The 25,723-nt window shown below is 56.0% G+C and overlaps 1 protein-coding gene across 16 annotated transcripts in view, besides 6 other annotated features; it reads right to left on the bottom strand.

Moving 5' to 3' along the window:
• PACS2 (phosphofurin acidic cluster sorting protein 2) overlaps window positions 1-25,723 on the bottom strand; it is a 97,374-nt gene that overhangs the window by 32,231 nt on the left and 39,420 nt on the right. For all 16 annotated transcript variants that reach the window (XM_017021112.3, XM_017021111.3, NM_001243127.3 and 13 more), the window contains exons 2-4: window positions 17,337-17,424; window positions 13,450-13,539; window positions 10,740-10,865 (exon numbers count right to left, since the gene is read on the bottom strand). In XM_017021112.3, coding sequence (XP_016876601.1) covers window positions 10,740-10,865; window positions 13,450-13,539; window positions 17,337-17,342 — 222 coding nt within the window. In that variant the 5' untranslated portion in view covers window positions 17,343-17,424. The remainder of the gene's footprint in view (window positions 1-10,739; window positions 10,866-13,449; window positions 13,540-17,336; window positions 17,425-25,723) is intronic.
• Window positions 1,351-1,540: a silencer, noted in NCBI's record as "silent region_6230". NCBI's record gives its function as "represses an Ori minimal core promoter by ATAC-STARR-seq in GM12878 lymphoblastoid cells {active_cell/tissue: GM12878}" and the evidence as "EXISTENCE:reporter gene assay evidence [ECO:0000049][PMID:35858748]".
• Window positions 12,665-13,194: an enhancer, noted in NCBI's record as "H3K4me1 hESC enhancer chr14:105819060-105819589 (GRCh37/hg19 assembly coordinates)". NCBI's record gives its function as "activates a minimal SCP1, AML or CMV promoter by ChIP-STARR-seq in naive H9 embryonic stem cells {active_cell/tissue: H9 hESC(naive)}" and the evidence as "EXISTENCE:reporter gene assay evidence [ECO:0000049][PMID:30033119]".
• Window positions 19,509-19,698: a silencer, noted in NCBI's record as "fragment chr14:105812556-105812745 (GRCh37/hg19 assembly coordinates)". NCBI's record gives its function as "represses an EF-1alpha promoter that drives an FKBP-Casp9 reporter gene in an ReSE screen in phorbol 12-myristate 13-acetate-treated (for megakaryocytic differentiation) K562 erythroleukemia cells {active_cell/tissue: K562(+PMA)}" and the evidence as "EXISTENCE:reporter gene assay evidence [ECO:0000049][PMID:32094911]".
• Window positions 22,786-23,627: an enhancer, noted in NCBI's record as "H3K4me1 hESC enhancer chr14:105808627-105809468 (GRCh37/hg19 assembly coordinates)". NCBI's record gives its function as "activates a minimal SCP1, AML or CMV promoter by ChIP-STARR-seq in primed H9 embryonic stem cells {active_cell/tissue: H9 hESC(primed)}" and the evidence as "EXISTENCE:reporter gene assay evidence [ECO:0000049][PMID:30033119]".
• Window positions 24,289-24,338: an enhancer, noted in NCBI's record as "active region_9146". NCBI's record gives its function as "activates an Ori minimal core promoter by ATAC-STARR-seq in GM12878 lymphoblastoid cells {active_cell/tissue: GM12878}" and the evidence as "EXISTENCE:reporter gene assay evidence [ECO:0000049][PMID:35858748]".
• Window positions 24,399-24,458: an enhancer, noted in NCBI's record as "active region_9145". NCBI's record gives its function as "activates an Ori minimal core promoter by ATAC-STARR-seq in GM12878 lymphoblastoid cells {active_cell/tissue: GM12878}" and the evidence as "EXISTENCE:reporter gene assay evidence [ECO:0000049][PMID:35858748]".

Below are 25,723 nucleotides of genomic sequence, written 5' to 3'. Positions count from 1 at the left end.
CCACTGCTGACGCCCTCGTGCCCACAACTCGCCGGGGCACACGCAGCTTCACGTACTTGGAGGCTGCTGTTGTCCAGGCCCCCAGCACCCTGAGTCGCCTTCTCAGAGTGGCATCTGATGTGGCAGGGTCTCAGTGTCACACAGGGGTGAGAACCTGGAAGCTCAGAAGCCCTCGGTCAGAAATGCTGAGCCCTTGCTGGGGATCCCAGTAAAATGAGCTCAGAGGGGAGGGGGCTGCCGGGCTGGGGTCCCGGAGGAATCAAGGTGGGGCTCAGGTGGTGCTGCACCTGCTCATACCAACCTCCACGGGGCTCAGAGGGGTCTGGGCCCTTTTTCTCCTAAGAAAACCCTGCTCGCTTCCTCCTTCAGGTGGGAGGGCAGGAAGGAATGGGGCCTCTTATCAAAGATGCTTTTGCCGGGATCCCTGGAGCTGGCTGTAGTGGGAATGCTCTGCTGGGCCCGCAGCGGGCCAGGGGCGGGTTGTTGATTAGCCCCCGCTCCACTCAGCCTGTGGTCGACCTATATGTGAACACTATTTTGATATCTGCAGGCCCTGGAAGTCCCAGGCCCCGACACTCCAGGCTGCATGTTCCTCTCCTCCTGACAGTGCTCCTTGGGGCGTGCGTCCTCCTGCCAAGGGGCCAGCCACCCCTGAGCTGGGCACTCCCCTGGGGTGATGCTGGCCGGCAGGTCACTGTCCTGGACTGTGGCCATTCCCACTCCTGCCCCTGCTGACCCTGAGACCACCCTCCCGGGTTAGTCCAGCAGATGCTCTGTGGATGCTCTGCAATCCTCAGCAAAGGGCTGGAGCTGCCTCACCAGGGAGGGTGGCCCCAGGGCCCAGCTCCCTCCACCCCTGACCCTGACAGGCTCCTCCCTCTTCCATTTTCAAATAGATTTTAGTGACTAGGAAAATTGAGGCCGGGCATAATGGTTCACGCCTGTAATCCTAACACTTTGGGAGGTTGAGGCAGGTGGATGGCTTGAGCTCAGGAGTTTGAGACCAGCCTGGGCAACATGGCGAAACTCTTATCTCTACAAAAAGTATAAAAAATTAGCTGGGCATGGTGGTGCGCACCTGTAGTCCCAGCTACTTGAGGACTGAGGTGGGAGGACTGCTTGGGCCCAGGGGCTTGAGGCTGCAGTGAGCCAAGATCACACCACTGCACTCCAGCCTGGGTGGCAAAGTAAGACCCCGTCTCAAAAAAAAAAAAAAAAAAAGAAAAGAAAATTGCTCAGGATGTCACACTTAATTGTACAAATACTACAATAAAAATTTTACAAAAACAGTCATGCACCACGTAACGACAGAGGTATGTTCTGAGACATGCATGGTGAGGAGACCTCGTCCTCTTGCCAACATCGCAGCAAGCCTGGATGGTGCCGCCCACCGCGCACCCAGGCCACCGCCCACCGCGCACCCGGGCCGCCACCCACCGCGCACCCGGGACGCCGCCCACCGCGCACCCGGGACGCCGCCCACCGCGCACCCGGGACACCGCCCACCGCGCACCCGGGACACCGCCCACCGCGCACCCGGGACGCCCACCGTGCACCCGGGACACCGCCCACCACACCCCCGGGCCGCCGCCCACCGCGCACCCGGGACGCCCACCACACCCGCAGGCCGCCGCCCACCGCGCACCCGGGCTGCAGCCCTCACTCTGCTCTGCTGCACTTTGCTGATCTTCTGTTTTTTACAGTGAAGGCTTTTGGCAACCCTGCATCAAGCAAGTCTATCAGCGCCACTTTTCCAACAGCACGTGTTCACTTGGTGTCTGTGTCACATTTTGGTAATTCTCCCAATATTTCAAACTTCTTCACTATTATTATATCTGTATGGTGATCTGTGATCAGTGAGCTACGGTGTGACTATCACAACTGCTCTGGGGCACCACGAACATCACCCATGTAAGACAGTGAACTTAATCAGTAGGTGTGTGCGTCTGACTGCTCAGCCCACCGGCCATTCCCATGTCTGTCTCTCCTGTGGCCTCTCTCTTCCGAGACACAATAATATGGAAATTAGGCCAATTACTAACTCTACGGGCCCCTAAGTGTTCAAGTGAAAGGAGGGGTTGCACATCTCTTTCAATGAGAACCTAGAAATGACTGAGTTTAGTGAAGAAGGCACGTCAGAGCCGAGACAGGGTGAGGGCGAGGCCCCTTATACTAAATCACCAAGCAGTGAATGCAAAGAGAAAGCTCCTGAGGGAAAGGAAAATCGCTGCTCCAGCGAACACAGGAAGGAGAATCAGCAGAGCAGCCTCAGTGACGGTGTGGAGAGAGTGAGTGGCCGGGATGAAGATTGAACCAGACAACACTCCTTTAAGCCAAAGCCTCATCCGGAGCAAGGCCCTGACTCCCTTCACCTCTGTGAAGGCTGAGAGAGGCGAGGAGGCTGCAGAAGAAGTTTGGAGCTGGCAGAAGTTGGTTCATGAGGTTTTAGTAAAGCAGCCGTCTCCATAACAGAAATGCAAGGTGAAGCGGCAAGTGCTGACGGAGAAGCTGCAGCGAGTTCTCTAGAAGGTCTAGTTCAGATCTTGACGAAGGTGGCTAACACTAAACAACAGATTTTCAACGTAGAAGACACAGCCTTCCATTGGAAGAAGATGCCATCTAGGACTTTCATAGCTAGAGAGGAGAAGTCGATGCCTGGCCTCAAAGCTTCAAAGGACAGGCTGCCTCTCTTGTTAGGAGTGAAGGCAGCTGGTGACTTTAAGTTGAAGCCAGTGCTCATTTACCATTCCTGAAATCCTAGGGCCCTTAAGAATTATGCAAAGTCGACTGTCTGTGTTCTGAAAATGGAACAACAAAGCCTGGATGACAGCACATCTGTTTACAGCACAATTGGCTGAATGTTTTAAGCCCACTATGAGACCTATTGCTTGGGAAAAAAAAGGTTCCTTTCAAAATATGACTGCTCATTGACATGACCTGGTCACCCAAGAGCTCTGCTGGAGACTCGCAGGAGACGAATGTTGTTTTCATGGCTGCTCACACGACATCCATCAGGCAGCCCATGCATCAAGGAGTCATTTCAACTTTCAAGTCTTATTATTATTTGAGTTGGAGTTTCGCTCTGTTGCCCAGGCTGGAGTGCAATGACGCGATCTTGGCTCACTACAACCTCTGCCTCCCAGGTTCAAGCGATTCTCCTGCCTCAGCCTCCTGAGTAGCTGGGATTACAGGGGCCCGCCACCACGCCTGGCTAATTTTTATATTTTTAGCAGAGATGGCATTTCAACATGTTGGTCAGGCTGGTCTTGAACTCCTGACCTCAGATGATCCACCTGCCTTGACCTCCCAAAGTGCTGGGATTACAGGTGTGAGCCACTGCGCCTGGCCTCAAGTCTTATTATTTAAAAAAAATGTATTTCATTCATAAGGCTATAGCTGCCATAGACAGTGATTCCTCTGATGGATCTGGGCAAGGTAAATTGGAAACCCCCTGGAAATGACTCACCATTCTTTTTTTTTCTTTTCTTTTTTTTTTTTTTGAGACGGAGTCTCGCTCTGTCGCCCAGGCTGGAGTGCAGTGGCGCGATCTCGGCTCACTGCAAGCTCCACCTCCAGGTTCACACCATTCTCCTGCCTCAGCCTCCCGAGTAGCTGGGACTACAGGCGCCCGCCACCACGCCCAGCTAATTTTTTATATTTTCAGTAGAGACGGTGTTTCACTGTGTTAGCCAGGATGGTCTTGATCTCCTGACCTCGTGATCCGCCCACCGTGGCCTCCCAAAGTGCTGGGATGACAGGCGTGAGCCACCACACCTGGCCCATTCTTTTTTTTTGAGACAGATTCTAACTCTTGTTGCCCAGGCTGGAGTGCAATGGTGCGATCTCGCTCACTACAACCTCCACTTCCCAGGTTCAAGCAATTCTCCTGCCTCAGCCTCCCGAGTAGCTGGGACTTTAGGTGCCTGCCACCACACTCCACTAATTCGTTTTTTTTGTTTGTTTGTTTGAGATGAAGTCTCACTCTTGGCGCCCAGGCTGGAGTGCAATGTCGTGATCTTGGCTCATTGCAATTTCCGCCTCCTGGGTTCAAGCGATTCTCCTGCCTCAGCCTCCTGAGTAGCTGGAATTACAGGCATGTGCCACCACACCCAGCTAATTTTGTATTTTTAGTAGAGACGGGGTTTCTCCATGTTGGTCAGGCTGGTCTCGAGCTCCCGACCTCAGGTGACCTGCCCGCCTTGGCCTCCCAAAGTGCTGGGATTACCGGCGTGAGCCATTGCACCCGGCCCACTAATTTTTTTGTTTGTTTGTTTGTTTTGAGACGGAGTCTCACTCTTGTCACCCAGGCTGGAATGCACTGGTGCAATCTCAGCTCACTGCAACCTCCGCCTCCCAGGTTCAACCGATTCTTCTGTCTCAGCCTACTGAGTAGCTGGAATTACAGGTGTCCTCTACCACACCTGGCTAATTGTTGTACTTTTAGTAGAGACAAGGTTTCACCATGTTGGCCAGGCTGGTCTCAAACTCCTGACCTCAGGTAATCCACCCGCCCTGGCCTGCCAAAGTGCTGGGATTACAGGTGTGAGCCACCGTGCCCAGCCTTTTTTTCTTTTTTTGTATTTTTAGCAGAGACAGCGTTTCACCATATTGGCCAGGCTGGTTTAGAACTCCTGACCTCAAATGATCCGCCCACCTTGGCCTCCCAAAGTGCTGGGATGACAGGTGTGAGCCACTGCGCGTGGCCTGGATTCACCATTCTTGATGCCATGAAGAACATCTGTGATTCATGGGAAAAAGTTGAGATATCAGCATTGACAGGAATTTGGGAGAAGTGGATTCCAACTCTCTCGTGGATGACTTTGAGGGCTCAAGGCTTCAGTGCAGGAAGGAAGTGCACATGTGGTGGAAATAGCAAGAGGACTGGGATTAGAAGCAGAGCCTGAGGACTGACTGAATTGCTGCAGTCTCATGAAGAAACTTCAGCTGATAAGAAGTGGCTTCTCATGGATGAGCAACGAAAGTGGTTTCTTAAGATGGAATCTGCTCCTGGTGAGGATGCTGTGAACACTGCGGAGTGACAACACAGGACTTGGGAGAGTCCACCGTCTCGGTTAGTAACGCAGCAACGGGGTTTGAGAGGACTGACCCCAATTCTGAAATAATGGTGGGTAACATGGTACCAAACAGCACCGCATGCGACAGGGAACTATTCTGCGAAAAGAAGAGTCAAGTATGCAGGAAACTTCTTTCTTGTTTTATTTAAGAAATTGCCACAGGCACCCTAGCCTTCAGCAACCAACACTCTGACCGGTCAGCACCCACCCACACTAAGGACCCCCACCAGCCAAAGGGTTACAACTCCCCGAAGGCTCAGATGATTGTTAGCTTTTTCTTTTCTTTTTTTTTTTTTTTTGAGAGGAAGTCTTACTCTGTCACCCAGGCTAGAATGCAGTGGCGTGATCTCGGCTCACTGCAACCTCCGCCTCCCGGGTTAAAGTGATTCTCCTGCCTCCCCTCCCTAGTAGCTGGGATTACAGGTGTGAGCCACGACGCCCGGCTAATTTTTTTTTGTATTTTTAGTAGAGACGACATTTCACCATATTGGCCAGGCTGGTTTCGAACACCTGACCTCAGGTGATACGCCCGCCTTGGCCTCCCAAAGTGCTGGGATTACAGGCATGAGCCACCGCACCCAGCTTTAGCAATATTTTAAAATTAATGTATGTATATATTTTTTGACGTAATGCTATTGCACACTTAACAGACTACAGTACAGTGTAAACATAACTTTTATATGCACTGAAAAACCACGAAATTTGTGTGACTCACTTTATTTCAATATCCGTTTTTATTGGGGTGGCCTAGAACTGAACACACAATATCTTCAAGGTCAGCCTATATGAGAGACAGCCTCCTGCTCCTAGGCCACAGACCTGTAAAGCATGTTACTGTACTGAATACTGTAGGCAATTGTTACAGATGGTAAGTATTTATGTGTCTAAACACATTTAAACACAGAAAAAGTAGGCTGGGCACGGTGGCTCATGCTTGAAATACCAACACTTGGCCGGGTACAGTGGCTCACGCCTGTAATCCCAGCACTTTGGGAGACCAAGGTGGGCGGATCGCGAGGTCAGGAGATCGAGACCATCTTGGCTAACACGGTGAAACCCCGTCTCTACTAAAAATACAGAAAATTAGCCAGGCGTAGTGGCGGGCGCCTGTAGTCCCAGCTACTCGGGAGGCTGAGGCAGGAGAATGGCGTGAACCTGGGAGGTGGAGGTTGCAGTGAGCTGAGATTGCGGCACTGCACTCCAGCCTGGGCGACAGAGCGAGATTCTGTCTCAAAAAAAAAAAAAAAAAAAAAAGAAAGAAATACCAACACTTTGGGAGGCCCAGATAGACAGATCACTTGAGGTCAGGAGTTCAAGACCAGCCTGGACAACAGGGTGAAACCCTGTCTCCACTAAAAATAAAAAAATTAGTTGGGTGTGGTGATGAGCACCTGTAATCCCAACCACTCGGGAGGCGGAGGAAGGAGAATCACTTGAACCCGGGAGGTGGAGGTTGCAGTGAACTGAGATCGCGCCACTGCACTATAAAAGTGAAACCACATCACGAAAAAAATTTAAAAATAAAAAGCAAAAAAAAAAAAGCACAGTAAAAATAAAGTATAAAAGACATTAAGTGGTGCCTGTGAATAGGGCACTGACGATGGCAGAGCCTGCGGGGCTGGAGGTGGCTCTGGACAAGCTGGTGGGTGAGTGAGTAATGCGAAGGCCTGGGAGGTCACCACGCACCGCCGCGTAGGGGTGGACGTGTGTGTGGATGCGAAGGCCTGGGAGGTCGCCATGCACCGCCGTGTAGGGATGGACGTGTGTGTGACCAGGCCCTGGACACCTGGGCCACACTGAGTTCACACAGGAATAAAGTAACTGTGCTATGGTGTTACGATGGCTACCATGTCATCAGGAGATAGGAAGTGTCCAGTGCCATCATATTCTCACGGGGCCACCCATTGATATGCAGCCCACACCTGACTGGGCTGTCATCAGCAGCCTGTGGCTGTGCAGACACTCATAGAGAGAAACTAAAGGGAATCCAGCATGCAAACGGTCAGGGTGACGCTCCCGCGCTGTCCTTACCCTGAGGTCTTCCTGTGTCCCACCATGAGCCGCCCGCCCCTCACAGGTCCCCTTGGGCTGGACCTGGCCCCAGTGGCATGTGCAGCTTGTGGCGAGGCCACAAGAGGAGTCCGGCTGTGCAAAGAAGCATGGCTGCTCCCTCAGCCACCACCGCACTCCCAGGTCACCCCTTCGCCTGGTCATGGGTCTGTCAACCTTCCTGTCTTGTCGGGGAGCCCACAGGCCCCAGCCTCAGACAATGGCCACCAGCTGGCATGCCTGCGTCTCCCAGGCTGCAGCCCCAGGGTGGTCTGGCCACACGAACGCCCACCCCTACACACTCCCTCTACGGGTGCTGGGGTGAGTTCTGAGAGCCACACCACAGGAGAAGGCCCCACGTCTGCCCCCACCGCACACCTGCCTCTGCGGAGCTGCCTCTGAGAGGGACCACCTGCAGTCAGCTCAAGCTTCCTGAGAAGTGGCAGGCAGAGGCGCGTGCCCAGCAGGCCCTGGGGCTGCGGTCACTCCTGATGGTCCCAGCCAGAACTGCTGGTCAGCCTGCAGACCTAAGCCACCCCACGCCGGCGTCCAGCTCCTGGCACCCATGAGGCCCGGCCCCTACCCTGGGCCACCTTGGACTCCACTTCCTCAGCCTCAGAGTAAGTCCAGGGCTCTGGGCCTCAGCTCACACAGAATGAGTGCCAGGTGAGGGCAGAGCTATGGTGTGGCAGGGGCCCAGGCTGCTCCCAGCCCCTCCTGCCCCCTGCGTGTGCACCCATTTGAAGGGAGATGACACCTGTGTCCCCACAGCCATCGCCTCCTGGTCTCCCCACAGCCTGGAGGTCCTGGGCAGGTGCCCCCCACATCCTCTCCCACCACACTCTCAGCCCTGGCCTCGAGTCCGCCCAACAGCCCGCCTCACCCCACCCTGTGCCCTCAAGGACCCTTCCCCACCGCCGAGCACTACTCTCAAATGCATGGCGCCAGCCTCACCGACACCCCACTCTCACGACAGTCCCTATGGCAGCACCCATGCCCTCACCCCCGTCTCAGGCGTGCAGTCTCGGAGCCAGCAAGCCCCCATGGCACAGCTGCCTGAGCCCAGCTGGTGAGAGCCCCCCACCTCTGCCACCTGTGTCCGTCTGTGCCCTCGGGGCTGTCCCGCCTCCGCAATCTCCCGTGCTCATACTCTCAACAAGCCAGCAACGCTCACAGGTGGGAACCAGCCCCAAAAGGTGGCAGGACACAGGGAGCCCATGAACCGCCCTGGTGCTCGGGGACACATGGGAGGACCCAACTAGGTTCTGGGACCAGGCTGCCAGTGGAAGGTGGAAGGATGCCCCGAGGGCCTGGAGGAGATGCTGGAGGGGAGAGCGAGGAGCAGTCAGATGACCTCGGCTTTGGAAGCCACAGGTGCAGGGCGAGGGAGCCTTGGGGTGGGGGCCACAGGCTCAGGGGCAGGGCACTGGAACTACATCCAGGGGTGGGGCTTTTCTGCCAAGAGTGAAGAACAGATGATGGGATTTCAAGCAGCAGACGATGTGGCTGGTGTGACCTGGGGTGGGGGAAGGTTGCTCCAGCCTCTCCCCGGGGATCAGGAGGGGACAGCCCAAGGCTGGGAGGACAGGTGAGGGAGGGGCCTGGGAGCAGAGGCCAGCATTCAGGGCAAGGACGTCAAACACAGAAGCACCAGTGCTGAGAGGGGCTGGGAGGAGCCGCCTGGGGCACTGGGGTGCAGACTGAGAGATGTGGGCGGAGCAGCCTGGGGCAGGAGCTCACAGGGACCGGCAGGGATCAGCAGGACATCACCTGCATGGCTACACAGGGACCAGCAGGGATCAGCAGGACATCGCCTGCATGGCTAATGGGAAACACAGGGACCGGCAGGGATCAGCAGGACATCGCCTGCATGGCTAATGGGAAACACAGGGACCAGCAGGGATCAGCAGGACATCGCCTGAATGGCTAATGGGAAACACAGGGACCGGCAGGGATCAGCAGGACATCGCCTGCATGGCTAATGGGAAACACAGGGACCGGCAGGGATCAGCAGGACCTCGCCTGCATGGCTAATGGGAAACACAGGGACCGGCAGGGATCAGCAGGACCTCGCCTGCATGGCTAATGGGAAACACAGGGACCGGCAGGGATCAGCAGGACCTCGCCTGCATGGCTAATGGGAAACAGAGCCTGCATGACCTCCCCACAGTGCCTGGACCCTCCTGCTCCACAGGAAGCAAGCGGTGGCTCCCAGGAGGCTCTCACAGCCCAGAGAGCATCCCTGAGCTACCTGTTCACCCATCGCTCAGCCTGCAGGAGGGAGGCTGGGATGATGGGCAGCTCCAGGCCACCAGAGGGGTCCCAGGGCCCTGGGAAGTGCAGCCTGGAGGCCCGGTCCACCCGTGCTGTCCGTGGTTTGCCGAAGGAATCGGGAAGACTGCAAAGCTTGTCTGAGGCCCTGCGGCGGCACGGAGAAGCGAGGCCTCGGGACGCCACTGCTGCTTCCTGTACCCTCCACGCTCCCATCTCCTGGGGTAGCAGGGAGGGCTGAGCCCAGAGTAGTACTTGGCACTTGTCCTGGATGCGTAAGTGGGGGTGTGTGAGGATCTGGGGGACCTAGCGCTTGACCTGGGAGACAGGAGGCCTGCAGGCTGGGCCTGGGGGTGTGGGGGAACCAGCTACAAGTGGGCACCCCCACTGTCCCAGCCCCAAGCCCCAGGAGCAGGGGGACAAAGTGGGAAGAAGAGGGGCTGGGGGGCTCTGGCATCTCCGGCTCCCAATGAGGGGCTGCGCTGGCTGACCTTCCCAGGCCCCAGGCAGGCAGCAACCCAGCTTCACATGCCCCAAGCACCACTCACGCCCGCAGCCCCTGGACCCCTGAACACAACCCCACGATGGGGAAAGTTCTGAAGCAAAAGAGACAAACTGGTCTGGGGCCCTGGGCTGCCCCTTCTCCCAGAGCCAATCTTGCAGCCCCGAAAGGGTCCATGAGAAAGTCCGAGGCCTCAGCCTGGGGTGTCTTCTCCCAGGCCCCCACGCCCTACTGCAGCCTCCTTGGAACGCTGGGTTCTCTGGAGCAAGGTGGGCTGCTGCTTGGCTGTTTCTTTTCCTTTTGAGGTACTTCCCCTTCTTTCCCCTCCAGGGAACTCCAGCCACCCCTCTGACCTCTGGGTGCTGCCCCCGCCCTGCTCGGGTATTGTCGCTAGCCCCTTCACAGAACTGACACCTGTCCTGCTCCTGCTCAGCCAATCCTGGGCCAGAGCACGTGCTGAGCAGGATGCAGACACGAACCCATCACAGGACGCACCCGTGGTGTGGGGACAGCAGCGATTCCTCCATGGGAAGGACTCCAGAGCAGCCTGACCCAAAACCCAGCCTCCACTGAAGGGCAGGACAGGCTCGTTAGAGGGGAGTGCGCGCGGCTGCAGGCATGCGGGGAGCCATGCTAGGCGGCAAGGGAAGGTCAGAGAGGAAGCACCACCTGGGGCCGCACCTGGCCCTTATGGCGGAGCCCGGCCGCCCAGGCTCCTCTCATCATTTTCACCTGATCCCTGGACATCTGGACCCGGGAGAGACATCTCCATCTCCCACGGGCGAATGCTCTGGCACCCAGGTGGCCAGCCCGACGCAGGCCACGCCAGACGGAGCACTCACCTCAGCCATGCTGATGGAGCCCGCGGCCAGCGTCTTGTAGCCCAGGATGGTTCTGTTCTTGTAGCGCTTTCTGCGCTGCAGCATGATCTGAAGCTTGTTGCCTTCCCTCTTCAAGAAGTGAGGATACTGTGGGCACAAGTGCGAGTGGCAGCTGAGGGTGCACCGGGGCCCCAGGCAGCATCACGGCCTCTGACGGCCCAGCCACCCTGCAGCCTGCGACCAGGCCAACCTGCTGCCCATGAGATCGGAAGGGCACCCACAGACGGGCCCCCAAGTTCATCCCAGTGGCATGCCGGTCCCCAGAGCCCATCCTTTACCCAACACAATCAAGAGTGAGCCAGTCGCCAGAGCTCAGGCCCTGAGGGCTCCGCGCCACGCTAACAGCCATGGCAGGTGGACAAGGACTATGTGCTGCAGTGTCCGGGATGGCCGAGCGCGCCTGTGGACACTCGGAAACAGTGTGGCGGCTCATGTGCCTGAGGCAATCAGCAAGGTGGGACCCAGGACGCTTTTCCGCGAGGGGCACACAGGGCGGGGAGGGCTCTCCCTCCGAGGCCCCCTGTTCACCCAACTCGCCTGCACGTCTCACCACAGGCTCCCTGTCCAGCAGGGCTCCAGCAAGCTGATGTTCACAGGTATCTCTTAGACACTCAGAGTTCACAAATAAAAATCAGTTTAAATACTTAGGGGAAAATGGGGCTGTTCACCACCCTAACTGCGGTGGTGCTGACATGCCTGAGCATGCCTATCAAAACCCACTGAACCATGGAGCATTGGGCCAGGCGCGGTGGCTCACACCTGTAATCCCGGCACTTTGGGAGGCCAAGCTGGGCGGATCACCTGAGGTAGGGAGTTCGAGACCACCCTAGCCAACATGGCAAAACCCCATCTCTACAAAAATACAAAAATTAGCCGGGCTCACTGTCACCTCCACCTCCTGGGTTCAAGCAATCCTCCTGCCTCAGCCTCCCGAAGAGCTGGGATTGCTTGTGAACTCTGAGTTTCCCCTATCTTTTTAAATAGAAGAGCAAAATAGCCTTGACTCAGTAAGTGTTTTTTTGCCCTCGTTATTATATTCTCTCTTTTTTTTGAGATGGAGTCTCACTCTGTCCCCCAGGCTGGAGTGCTATGGCATGATCTCAGCTCACTGCAACCAACCTCCACCTCCCGGGTTCAAGCGATTCTCCTGCCACCTACCTCGGCCTCCCGAAGTGCTGGGATTACAGGCATGAGCCACCACACCCGGCCTTATATTCTCTTTATCATAGATAAGGAATGAAAAACTAGGCTGGGCATGGTGTCCCACGCCTGTAATCCCAGCACTTTGAGAGGCCGAGGCAGGCAGATCATGCAGTCAGGAGTTCGAGACCAGCCTGGCCGACATGGTGAAACCCCGTCTCAACTAAAGATACGAAAAATAGCCGGGCGTGGTGGCACATGCCTGTAATCCCAGCTGCTCGGGAGGCTGAAGCAGGAGAATCGCTTGAACTCGGGAGGTGGAGGTTGCAGTGAGCCAAGACTGCACCAGCCTGGGTGACAAGGAGAGACTCCATCTCAAAAACAAACAAACAAACAAAAAACAAAGAAAAAACAAAGAAAAACTCAACCTAATAAACAAATACAAATCTTCTAATCATTTAAGAATAAACCATAATCAACAGAAGATCTGCAGTAACGCAGGACACTGATGGCAATGATGAGACAAATGCTCTCACCCCAGGGGACAGTGATGAGGGGGCCCATCACCCCAGGGGACAGTGATGAGGGGGGGCCGTCACCCCAGGGGACAGTGATGAGGGGGGGCCATCACCCCAGGGGACAGTGATGAGGGCGCCCGTCTCCCCAGGGGACAGTGACGAGGGGGCCCATCACCCCAGGGGACAGTGATGGGGGGGCCCGTCACCCCAGGGGACAGCGATGGGGGTGCCCGTCTCCCCAGGGGACAGTGATGAGGGGGTGCCCATCACCCCAGGGGACAGTGATTGGGGGGGCCCGTCACCCCAGGGGACAGTGATGGGGGTGCCCGTCTCCCCAGGGGACAGTGATGAGGGGGTGCCCGTCACCCCAGGGGACAGTGATGGGGGGGGCCTGTCACCCCAGGGGACAGTGATGGGGGTGCCCGTCTCCCCAGGGGACAGTGATGGGGGTGCCCGTCTCCCCAGGGGACAGTGATGAGGGGGCCCGTCACCCCAGGGGACAGTGATGAGGGGTGCCCGTCTCCCCAGGGGACACTGATGAGGGGGGCCCATCTCCCCAGGGGACAGTGATGAGGGGGCCCGTCACCCCAGGGGACAGTGATGAGGCGTGCCCGTCTCCCCAGGGGACACTGATGGGGGGGCCCGTCTCCCCAGGGGACAGTGATGGGGGGGCCCGTCTCCCCAGGGAACAGTGATGGGGAGGGCCTGTCTCCCCAGGGTACAGTGATGGGGGTGCCCGTCACCCCAGGGGATAGTGATGGGGGGGCCCGTCACCCCAGGGGACAGGGATGACGGGGCCCGTCGCCCCAGGGGACGGTGATGAGGGGTGCCCGTCTCCCCAGGGGACGGTGATGAGGCGTGCCCGTCTCCCCAGGGGACACTGATGAGGGGGGCCCATCACCCCAGGGGACAGTGATGAGGGGGGCCCGTCTCCCCAGGGGACAGTGATGAGGGGGGCCCGTCTCCCCAGGGGACAGTGATGAGGGTGTCGTCACCACTGGTGAAAGACTCACCTGCAAGGAGAAGGTCAGGGCCAGGTCTGTCTCCACTTGTCCACTGGGGGGCAGCACAATCTCATGGGACCGCAGGATTCGTTTGGAGCCCTGTGATTAAGCAAGACCTGTTCTAGCTCAAAGGACTGCATATCAGCAGGAAACCAGGCAAAGACACCGTGACTCCTGCACTCTAAAACTGGCAGGATTGCAGCCCTGCAGTCTGGGGGTGGTAGGCACAGGCTGGGGTAATTCTCAGAGGTGCCCTGGCATCTTTCCCAAGAACCTTAAAAACATGGAGACCCTTCGGCCCACAGGTTCCACCTCCAGGAATCTGCCCTAAGACATGAGAGAGAAACCAGGAGCGGCTCCTGCTGAAGTTAACGCGATCACAAAACAGATTCCACGGCCAGGTGCAGCAGCACCTGACTGCGCTGCCCAAGTCTGTCTGGCAGAACAAATCTGGAGGCACCAAGCCTCTTCTGGTTTTGGTTTTGAGAGACAGGTCTCGCTGTGTTGCTCAGGCTGGACTTGAGCTCCCGGGCTCAAGCAATCCTCCTGCCTCAGCCTCCTAAGTAGCTCAGCCTTACAGGCATGTGCCTCCATGCTTGGCTTAAAGCATTTTTTTATTTTTTGTTTTTATTTTTTGAGACAGGGTCTCTGTCACCCAGGCTGTGGGGCAGTGGCTCGATCTCAACTCACTACAGCCTTGACCTCCTAGGCTCAGGCAATCCTCCAGCCTCAGCCTCCCTAGCACCTGGGACTACAGGCATGTACCACCACAAAAAAATATACAATAATTTTTGTATTTTGTTAAGAGACAAGGATTAGTCATGTTGCCCAGACTGGTCTCCAACTCCTGAGTTCAAGCAATCCACCCTCCTCGGCCTCCCACAGTGCTGGGATTAGGCATGAGCCACTGCACCTGGCCTAAAGCATTTTCTAAAAAGAAGAATGATCAGGCCTGACTGGTCCTCTCAGAAAGTAAAACATACAGAGATACAATACTTAAAATACGGAGATGCTGTCACAAAAATGAGGGTAGTAGAAGCCTAGATGTAGGTGCAGGAAATGCATGAGCACCTGAAAACACAGTTCATACCCAGTGAGCTTCAGGCCAGCAGGAGACATCACACGCACCTGCTAAATGGATAACGAGTCATTTGCGTGAAAGACAACAGGACCCCAACCGCAAACTTTATATCAAAATAGATTCCTAATGGATTGAACGTGCTTATCGCAGTGCTGTTTTAAATGGGACCATCCCAACAAGGATGAGCTTGGGGACCTCGTGCCCCGAGAAACAAGCAGCCGCTGCGGGGTCCCAGGCACAAGGTTCCCGGAGGCCGGCGCGCGGGACACAGTGGATGAGAGGTGCCAGGTGGCTGGAGGGCGGGCGGGGGTCCAGGACAGACAACGGGAGCCCGGGGCCAGCCCAGGTTCGGGTGGGAGCAGCGGGGCCTCAGGACAGGTGCGGGCGGCCCGCATGGCCGTACTCGGGCTCCATGAGACGTCCATGGCGGACTCTGGTCCTCCCCTTGTGCTGGGGCCTCACGTGCAGCGTGGCAAGAGGCAGCGCGGCTCTCCTCGGCCAGCCCTCCTGTCCCCTCTCCTCTCCCCAGCTGCCCCTGCGTTGTGGTCTGGACTCTCCCTGCTCCTCCCCTTGACCCTTCAGAGATGTTTCCCTGCAAATGTGCTCTGCGTCGGGTCCCTCTTAGCATTCCCCCCTCAGAGGACCTGCAGGGACCCAGCTGTGTCGGGAAAAGGACAGTGTGTGCCACCAGCCAGTGAGGCGAAGGTGCACGCCAGAGAAGGCTGAGGGGCAGGTGGGGCTGCGGGGCCAGGCTGGCTGCTTCCCCCACAGGGGGCCTGGGCGGAGAGGACACCCCAAGAGAAGCAGATGAGGAGCTGGGGTGATCAAGGGAGGCCAAGGGCCACGTGGCTGCTGAGCTGGGGTGGGCAGGGAGGGCATGGGCAGCCAGTCCATGCGCTACACAGAGGGGCTGGAGAGGTGGGGCTCTGAGGGGCCCTGGGGCCAAGCTCTCGGTCAAGACACAGGCTGGGGCAGGACCAGAGACAGGCAGAGGAAGGAATGGGGCCAAGGAACAGGGTCAGTGTGGGGTGGGGCCCCATGCCAGAGGTTAGAGGTCAACAGCACCAGACTCAGAAGTCAGTGAGGGGTCGACTCTTGCCTTCATGCCTTTCTGCATTGCTCTGAAGACCCAATGAGACCCTGACCCCTGCCCCCCAAGCCAAGAGGTCCAGACACAGCCTCACGGCCTGGTGGCAATGGCCCACAGAGAGCTCCCTGTTCCCCAGGGACGACCCGCAGCCAGACTGCAGCAGGTACTGGGCACCCTGGGCATGGCCACACCCATGGGCAGGACAGGCGGAGAGACGCTTCCATCCTGCTATCAGCCACGCACTCCTGGAAGTTCTTGGGGTCCTGCTATTAGCCACGCGCTCCCGGAAGTTCTCGGGGTCCTGCTATTAGCCACGCGCTCCCGGAAGTTCTCGGGGTCCTGCTATTAGCCACGCTCTCCTGGAAGTTCTCGGGGTCCTGCATTAGCCACGCTCTCCTGGAAGTTCTCGGGGTCCTGCTATTAGCCACGCTCTCCTGGAAGTTCTCCGGGTCCTGCATTAGCCACGCACTCCTGGAAGTTCTTGGGGTCCTGCTATTAGCCACACGCTCCTGGAAGTTCCTGGGGCAAGGCCCCACCACCCGGGGAACCTGGCCACCAGCACACGCCGCAGATGTAGGCTGCTGCTAATCCACGAGCATGTTCAGCGAGGAAAAGGGTTTCTCCAGACGTTTATTTAAGATGCAGTAGGTTTCACATAGTGGCAATTGACTGGGACAGACAACAAGCCTCAGGCCTCCTCGCACTCAAGACCCAGTGCTTGGCTGGTGACCTCAGCCACACTGGCCGAGGCTCAGGTGCTACTCTGCAGGTCGGGGAGACCCGGAGACCCCGTGTCAGAGCCACAGCAGGTGTCAAGAATCCGGCCAGCTGCAGGGACCTGTGTGGGGCCTTGGACATGGGCTCCAAGGGCAGGGCCCCATCCTCGAGGAGCTGATGGGCTGGGGTCAGGAGCACAACAGCCACTGAGACCCCACCCTGTCACGCTGGACGGCCACACAGAAGGACACTCCTGTATGCTGAGGACATGGGTGAGACTTGCCCATGAGTGGTGCCGGCTAGGGAGAGCCCGCTGGCGGTGGCCCTATACAGGCCACACACCTGGAACCGTATGACCCTGAAAGGGCAGGGGTGGCCCTGACAGTTGGCGGGGACACCTCCCTGTCTGGGCCACTGGGCAAAGGCCATGCTGCAAGGGTCATGGCAGCTCTACCCCAAGGAGGGGGCGGGGCCTGGGCCAGGCATGGGGAAGACACCAGCATGACCCCTCTGGAACCGCTACTTGTTCAAAGCCTTCGAGAGGTCACAGGACCCACTAGGGTCAGGAGAGAGGCCCTGGCACCAGGGGCTGGGAGTTCTGGCTAGGCCCTCGCCTCCCAGAGTGCCCTGCTCCCCTCTCCCACCGACGCCCTCCACCCCACAAAAAGTGGGCAGGAAGTGGGTGCTGAGTGCAGCAGGGAAGCCCTGGCTCCAGGTGCTTGGGGCCCGTCCATCACTGTGAGGTGACTCGAGGGCAGCTCTGCCCTGGGAAGGCCCCATGCATGTGACCTCCACATCCCAGAAGGCCGGGCCTGCCTCCCTTGTGCGGGACAGGACTGGACCCAGGAGCATCCTGTCATTCCCAGCCCCCCGGGCTCCCGGAGATGGCATGGGCTGCCCGCTGTTTTGGCACAAGGCCCCACAGTAGCGCACCGCCTGACTCGTCTCCCAGGCACATGGAAAGCCTACACAGCACCCAGCCACAGCCGGGGTCACAAGCGGCCTCACCTGCATCTTGACAGCGATCACCACGGAGATCAGCTCCTTCTCCAGCTCCTTGAAGACCACCAGCTTCTTCAGAGTCAGGCTGCACAACCTGTGAGGCAAGGCACAGCTCAGCCTCGGGGCTCCGCCCTCTCCTCAGGACGCGGCCCTGTGCCGTCCCAGCACTGTGTCACCCCGGGAGCCTGCACCCTGGGGTGCAGGGCGGGGTGTGACTGCCTGGGCGGCCCCAGGACCTCACAGGGCTCCAAGACATCACCCCAGCTGTCCCTGCACATGGTGGGCACCCCTCAGCATCCGTTGGCTGCCGGGCCAGAGGTCCCATCTCCTGAAGGCCCCTGAGGGTGAGCCTCCCTCCCATGGAACTCACTCAGTGTGGGCCTGTGGACAGGCAGGTAGGAGGGATGACAGGCCACAAAGAGAAGATCTGAGAGTCCTGAGCCAGCTCCCAGCTGTGAGAGCACAGGCCTCCCCTCTCCCGCGGCCCTATCCAGCCCCAGGCCCAGCCGCCCCAAATCCTGCCCACCCCAGGACCCCCTGCCCATAGCTGGGATACGCTTTCCCCCAACCTTCCTTCTGTTCATTTCACCTCCATCATTCCGTCCTGAGGCCACAGGAGTGCTGGAGACGCCAGGGACAGTCTGAAGGACACACCCAGTGTCCAGGGCTCTGTTGCTGAGGAGTGGAGGGGTGTAGACCCTACCCTCCACTCTGCCTAGTGCTGCCCCGTGTGAACATGCCATCTCCCCGGGGCATCTGCCGTACACGCGCCAGGGCTCCAAATCCATCCAGTGAAGATGCCCACACCACCCACCCATGCCTGAAGGTGTGTGGGGTGCAACACCCACACTGGCAAGCTTTCCGGAAACTTTGGCACAGCTCTCTTTGAAGCTTGGCTCATTTTTCTTCTTGCTCAGGACAGCAGAAGGGTGAAGGCACCACCATCCAGATAGGGATGGCACTGTCTGCCCTGCCCGGCTTCAGGCTCTAAGACCAACAAGTTCTGAGTGGCTGAGTCTGTGCTGGGGACACTTTCCCTTGGGGAAGTCTGGACTTGTGGCACCCACCTCCTGGGCTGGTGCTTGGCCCTCAAAGTATGAATGTAAAACACCAGAACAGGCGCCAGACACAGTCAGGCCATGGAACGCAGCCACCCACCAGTGCCACAGTGGCCGCCACGTGCTTCCGTCTCCACCCCTGGGCATTGGGTGTGGACATGGCGGTGGGAAGGCAGTCCCAGGCCCTTCCAGCACACATCCCTGCCCCCAGGCAACGGGAGCACTGGATGGGTACAGCCTGTGTATGACTGCCTGGGCGGCCTCAGGACATCACAGGGCTTCCTGAGCACCTGTCAACCCATTTGTAAAATGGAGACCACAGAGACCCCACTCCCATCCTGGCTGCTCAGGTGATGATCTACTACACTGTCTACACTCCACTGAGCTGCTGAGAGAAGCCAAGGGGCAGACACCAGAGCACTCTGGGTGGGACGCGCCTGACTTGACAGCAGGGCAGCAGGTGGGAGGTGCAACGGGGACAGCGGACAACAGGCAGTGGGGGAGCCGTGCAGGCGGGGGTAGGGAAGCTGTGTGGGCAGAGGTGGGGGAGCCATGCAGTGGTGGGGGGATGCTGTGCAGGTGGGGGTGGGGGAGCCGTGCAGGGGGTAGGGGGTGATGCCGTGCGGGTGGGGGTGGGGGTGGGGGAGCCGTGCAGGGGGTGGGGGGGAAGTCATGCGCGTGGGAGTGGGGGAGCCGTGCAGGGGGTGGGGGGGAAGTCATGCGCGTGGGAGTGGGGGAGCCGTGCAGGGGGTGGGGGGAAAGTCATGCGCGTGGGGGTGGGGGTGGGGGAGCCGTGCAGGGGGTGGGGGGGAAGTTGTGCGGGTGGGGGTGGGGGAGCCGTGCAGGCGGTGGGGGTGATGCCGTGCGGGTGGGGGTGGGGGAGCCGTGCAGGCGGTGGGGGTGATGCCGTGCGGGTGGGGGTGGGGGAGCCGTGCAGGGGGTAGGGGGGGAAGTCGTGCGCGTGGGAGTGGGGGAACTGTGCAGGGGGTGGGGGGGAAGTTGTGCGGGTGTGGGTGGGGGAGCCGTGCAGGCGGTGGGGGGGATGTTGTGTGGGCGGGGGTGGGGGAGCCGTGCATGCAGGGCCACGGGGTGCTCTCTGCAGACAGGGCTGCAGACGCGAGCAGTGCCTGACAGCCATCAAAGTCACCAACCGGGCTGTGTGATTCTGCATGGGACCAAATCATGCACAGGGCGGCCTGTTCCAAACAAGATCGGGTCAGTGTAGGTCAAAAAGCAGCACAGGACTAACCCGGAAATGAGTCTGCTTTCCAACACTGGAAGACGGACCTACCCAGGTCAGAAGATGTTTTATTTTTCTGAGTTCCAAGTTCGATGTATTTAAGTCCAGCTTTTTAGGTAAACAGGCATGGAGCTTAAACAATGAGTGTGACAAGCCTGCCTACTACAGACATCTCTGTCAGAGTCCTTCAACTCATTCCCCGAGCTGCAGTCAGACTGTCCACTGTCGCCCGTCAGTGTTTGTGAGCACAAGGTGCACTCTGAGGCCACCTGTGAGCTTTAAAGTCATTCTCATAACTCAGTATATCACAAAATAAGTCAGGCATTAAGTCAGAGTCTCCTAGGACTTGGCAGAAACGCGGAAGGGCCTGGCCTGAGGGGGCGCTCCTCCAGCAGGGACCCTCGTCCTGGTTCCACCCCACTCCACTGGGGCTGCCCGGATTCCCACAGACTCTCTCTTACTCAACACAATGCAAGAGGAAGAAAGACAGAGGAGAGAGACTAAGAGAGGTGATATGAACCAAGATAGACCATAGGCTGGGTCACACCACAAATCCTTCACAAATACAAAAGAGCTGATATCATACAAAGAATACGTTCTCTGACCAAAATGGCGTTAGACTAGCAATCTATCACAGAAAGATGGCGGGGAAATCCTCTTGGGATGCTTGGGAAACTAAAAAACAAAAACCTATGGATCAAAGGAAGTCTCAAAGGAAATCAGAGAACACTCTGAATGGAATGTAAATGAAAACGCAGCACGTCAATCTGCCAGGTGCAGCTAAAGCCGTTCTGAAATGAGAATTTATAGCATTAAGTGCTTATGTCAGAAAAGAAAAAAGATTCAAATACACAATCTAAAGATTCCATTTTTTTTTTTCTCAAGACGGAGTCTCGCTCTGTTGCCCAGGCTGGAGTGCGGTGGCGTGATCTCAGCTCACTGCAAGCTCCGCCTCCTGGGTTCACGCTATTGTCCTGCCTCAGCCTCCCGAGTAGCTGGGACTACAGGCGCCCGACATCACACCCAGCTAATTTTTTGTATTTTTAGTGGAGACGGGGTTTCACCGTGTTAGGCAGGATGGTCTCAATCTCCCGACCTCGTGATCCGCCTGCCTTGGCCTCCCAAAGTGCTGGGATTACAGGCGTTGAGCCACTGCGCCCAGCCAGATTCCATCTTTTTTGAGATGGAGTCACACTGTGTTGCCCAGGCTGGAGTGCAGTGGTGTGATCTCGGCTCACTGCAACCTCCACCTCCTGGGTTCAAACGATTCTCATGCCTCAGCCTCCCAAGCAGCTGGGATTACAGGTGTGCACTACCACGCCCAGCTAATTTTTTATATTTTTGGTGGAGACACGATTTCACCATGTTGGCCAGGCTGGTCTCGAACTCCTGACCTCAGGTGATCCACCCACCTCGGCCTCCCAAAGTGCTGGGATTACTGGGCCACTGCGCCCAGCCCTAAGGTTCCATCTTAAGAAACTAGAAGAACATATTAAACCCCAAGTAAGCAAAAGGAAGGAAATTATAATGATAAAGAGGAACAACTAAACTGAAAATAGATAAACAATAAAATAAAACCAAATGCTAGTTCTTTGGGAAGATCAATAAAATTCATAAAACCTCTACCCAAACAAAGAAGAAAGTAGACAAAAGTTGCCATTATCAGAAGTAAAAGAAGGAAAGCACTACAGACCTTACAGACTACTGGGAAATACTATAAACAACTTCATGAACAAAAATTTGACTACTTTGATAAAATGTACCAATTTTCATTTCCCTAGAAAGCCACAAACTACTAAAACTCCCCACGATGAAATAGATAGCTGGTATAGTCCTACAACTATTAAATAAATTGAATTAATTGTTAAATTTTCTGGGCCGGGTGTGGGAGAATCACTTGAACTGGGGAGGCAGAGGTTGTAGTGAGCCGAGATCGTATCACTGCACGCCAGCCTGGGGGACAGAGTGAGACTCTGTCTCAAAAATAAATCAATTAATTAATTAAATCTTCCAAAAACAAAACAAAACAAAAAAAAACTTCCAGGCAAATTCAACCATATATTAAAAGTTGAGGCAGGGAAGGGTGGCTCATGCCTGTAATCCCAACACTTCGGGAAGCTGAGGTGGGTGGATCACTTGAGCCCAGGAGTTTGAGACCAGCCTGGGTACACAGGGAGACCCTGTCTCTACAAAAAGTATAAAAATTAGCCAAGTACGGCAGCACACATCTGTAGTCCCAGCTACATGTAGGCCAGGCCTGGTCTCAAACTCCTGGCCTCGAGTGATCTGCCCACCTCAGCCTCCCAAAGTGCTGGGATTATAGGCATGAGCCACCACACCTGGCCACAGATCACACATTCGACAAAAATTTTATCCAGAATATATAAATATATGAACTCTCAGAACTCAACAATATGAAAACAAACAACCTAATAAAAAGTGAGAAAAGCCTGTAGTCCCAGCTACTCGGAAGGCTGAGGCAGGGGAATTGCTTGAACCAGGGAGGTAAAGGTTGCAGTGAGCTGAGGTCGCGCCACTGCACTCTAGCCTGGGTGACAGAGCAAGACTCCATCTCAAAAAAAAAAAAAAGTGAGCAAAATATTTGAACAGACGTTTCACCAGAAAAGATACATTGATAGCAAATAAGCACATGAAAAGATGCTCAAAATTATTAGTTATTAGGGAAATGCAAATTAAAACCAAACGAGATACCAACTACACCTATTAGAATGGCTTAAAAAACATGAAAAATAAAAAAAGCTAATACCAAATGCTGGCGAGGAAGCAAAACCACTGGGACTTCCATATACTCTGAACGTGCAGAACGCCACATGGCAGAGTCACTGGAAAGCAGTTTGGCAGTTTCTTACAAAGTTAAACATACAGGACCCAGCAATCCTACCCCTTGGAATTGGTCCAAGGGAAATGAAAGCATATGTCCCTACACAGATCCCTAATGCACATTCACAGCAGCTCTATTCATAACTGCCACCCACTGGAAACCCCGATGTCCTTCACACAAAGACAAGGACATTTTGGTACTATTCAGCAACAGCTAGGAACAGATCGATACGTGATAGGATGGATCTGGAAGGCATCGTGTTGAGTGAGAGACGCCCGTGTCAAGAGGGCACACACCATTTTTGTCCATCTCTATGGCACTCTGGAAAAGGCAGAGCTGGGGGCACAAGGCCAGGTCAGTAGGGAGGGTGGCTGCTGGGGACTGTTTTGGGTGGACTGCCCAGTGTTCTGTGCCTGGTTGTATGGTGGATGTTAAGCTCAGAGCTGCATACGAAAAAAGGTGTGAGGGGTGAACCTTTACCATAACAATACTGTCTTTTTTTTTTTTTTTTTTTAAGACAGAGTCCTGCTGTCACCCAGGCTGGAGTGCAGTGGTGCGATCTTGGCTCACTGCAACCTCCGCCTCCCGGGTTCAAGCAATTCACCTGCCTCAGCCTCCTGAGTAGCTGGGACTACAGGCGTGCACCACCACACCCAGCTAATTTTTTATATTTTTACTAGAGATGGGGTTTCACCATATCGGCCAGGCTGGTTTTGAACTCCTGACCTCAAGTGACCCGCCCACCTCGGCCTCCTGAAGTGCTAGGATTACAGGCGTGAGCCACTGCGCCTGGCCTACCAGACGATACTTGCAAAGTTTTTGTTTTATTAAAGACAGCCACAAGACACACACCAACCAACTGCAAACAAGAAGCTCTACTGTGGCTGGGCACAATCATGCCTGTAATCCCAGCACTGTGGGAGGCCGAGGCGGGTGGATCACTTGAGGCCAGGAGTTCGAGACCAGCCTGGCCAACATGGCGAAACCCTGTCTCTACAAAAAAATACAAAAATTAGCTGGGCTTGGTGGGGCGCACCTGCAGTCCCAGCTACTTGGGAGGCTGAGGTGGGAGGATCACCTGAGCCCAGGAGTTGGAGGCTGCAGTCAGCTGTGATTGCACCACTACACTCAGCCTGGGTGACAGAGGACCCTGTCTCTCTCTCTCTCACACATAGACACACACACACACACACACACACACACACACACACACACAGGCAGCAGCTTGGATCCTGCTGTGGATGAACTAATTGTAAACAAACAAACAAACAAATCCACAAGAGGCATTTGGGGAGTGCGCAGGTACTGCAAACCCACAAGAGGCATTTGGGGAGTGTGCAGGTACTGCAAGATTTCCCTTCCTCACCACTCAGGCTTCCACGCTCGTTTCCAGAAGCTCACGTTCCTTACATTCGTTTGACTTGGGGCTGGGGGTGAGTCCAGTGCTCACCATCTATGCAGCACAGCCCAGTGCCCCCTCGCCCAAGATGCTTGTCACAAAAACAGCAGGCTACGGCTCCCCGTCCCTAGGCAGGGGCTCCTCTCCGCACACTTAGAAGGAAAAAGTCGCAGCTTGCGGTCCCGTAGCAGACAGATCCTGCCCAGGGGGAACGTGGCTGCCCCTCTCAGGCCTGTCTCTGCTGTCACTACACATAGCTACAGCCACTGTGCAAACACGAAGAATAAAAAGCTCCAGCCTGGGCAACACGGCAAGACTCTGTCTCTAAAACATAAATAAATAAAATAAGGAATAAAAAGAATCATTTGCATTCAGAAACTGCGCAGATAAACAAAACATGTTATTTGCTTATTATCCACAGTTGGTTCTGAGAGCGAGGCCTAAAGGTTTGCCCAGGCCAGGTGCACCACACTTGGCCCTGAGAGAATCATAACAAAGACACCAGAAAACCTACAGAAGACGATTCATCACCAGCCTGCCACTGTGTTCAGGACACCGTGCAGCTGTAATAGATTCAACAGCAACGAAAGTGAAGCAAAGCATATTTTAAAAACAACTCAATATAAAATAAAATCACAGTGACAAGTGGAAACTCAATGTTCACATCCAAGACAACTTGCTGAATACCCACAGTGTTATCTGTTTCCTCTTTCATTGTGTCTGCTCGAAATAGGTGAATAAAAGAGCCGACTTGAATCCGAATCCCAGAGAATAGAGGCTTCTGTTTTGTTTTCTGACAGAGAGAAGCGAGAGGCATACAGGAAAAGTTCAGAGTGAGACACAAAAACCCACAGGCCTGCCAACAAGAATGAGCACATGTTCTCTACACTTGGGATCTATTTGAAGAAATAAAGGGGCCTGACCACAGAAACGCACTGTGTGCTCTCCCCGCCAGCCCCGTTTCTTCCCCTCTGCAGGCACTGCAGGTCTCAGGAGCGGGTGTCTCTATGTGTGGCCGAGACTGCCAGCTGTCTCCAAGCTCCGTTCTCCAGCCCCCCACCCCTTGGTAGCGAGCCTCCCCATGCTAGCTGGGTGACGGCTACGTGGCCAGAGACGGGGCAAGGGTGCTGAGCAAGCAGCCCCACTAGGGGCCCTGAGCAGAGGCAGCAGGCCCTGCCCACTCCTTTCACCCTGGCTGCAAGGGCAGGTCCCAGGCAGCCACCACGGACCCAGGGGCAGAAGCCAAGCCAGGACAGGAGATGCCCCTGGCCAGCCCTGGACCATGGACACCTGCACCACTACACAGGTGGCAGGAAGCACCAGCTCAGCCAGCCCTTCATTCCTAGCTCTGGTACAGAAAAGTCACCTGTGCTGTAGACCAGAGGTCCCCAACCCCCAGGACAGGTTCCTGGCCTGTTAGCAACTGGCCGCACAGCAGGAGATGAGCACCAGGGAGTGAGCATTCCCACCTGAGCTCCGGAAGAACCCTATTGTAACTGTGCACGCGAGGGATCCAGGCTGCACGCTGCTTATGAGAATCTGATGGCTGATGATCGGAGGTGGGACAGTTTCACTGGAAACCATTCCCATCACCGTCTGTGGAAAAACTGTCTTCCACAAAACCGGTCCCTGGCGGCAAAAAGGTTGGGGACCACTGCTTTAATCCATCCCACTCCCCCATTTGTTCCTTCCTCTTTTTCACAATGAGATTATCCATCCATTTGGAGTTGTGTGTGTTGTGATTGCATTTTATTTCCTACATGAATGTTCAGTTATCACCAAACCATTTACCCAGAAGTATATCCTTTCCCCACAGATGAATGAGGCCATTTCTGAAGCACATTACGATCGCAT

The sequence above is a fragment of the Homo sapiens genome, chromosome 14 (genome assembly GCF_000001405.40).
Source record: "Homo sapiens chromosome 14, GRCh38.p14 Primary Assembly".
Taxonomy (NCBI): Eukaryota; Metazoa; Chordata; class Mammalia; order Primates; family Hominidae; genus Homo; species Homo sapiens.
Note: the sequence above shows the minus strand (reverse complement) of the source record. Positions and strands in the feature narration are given on the sequence as shown.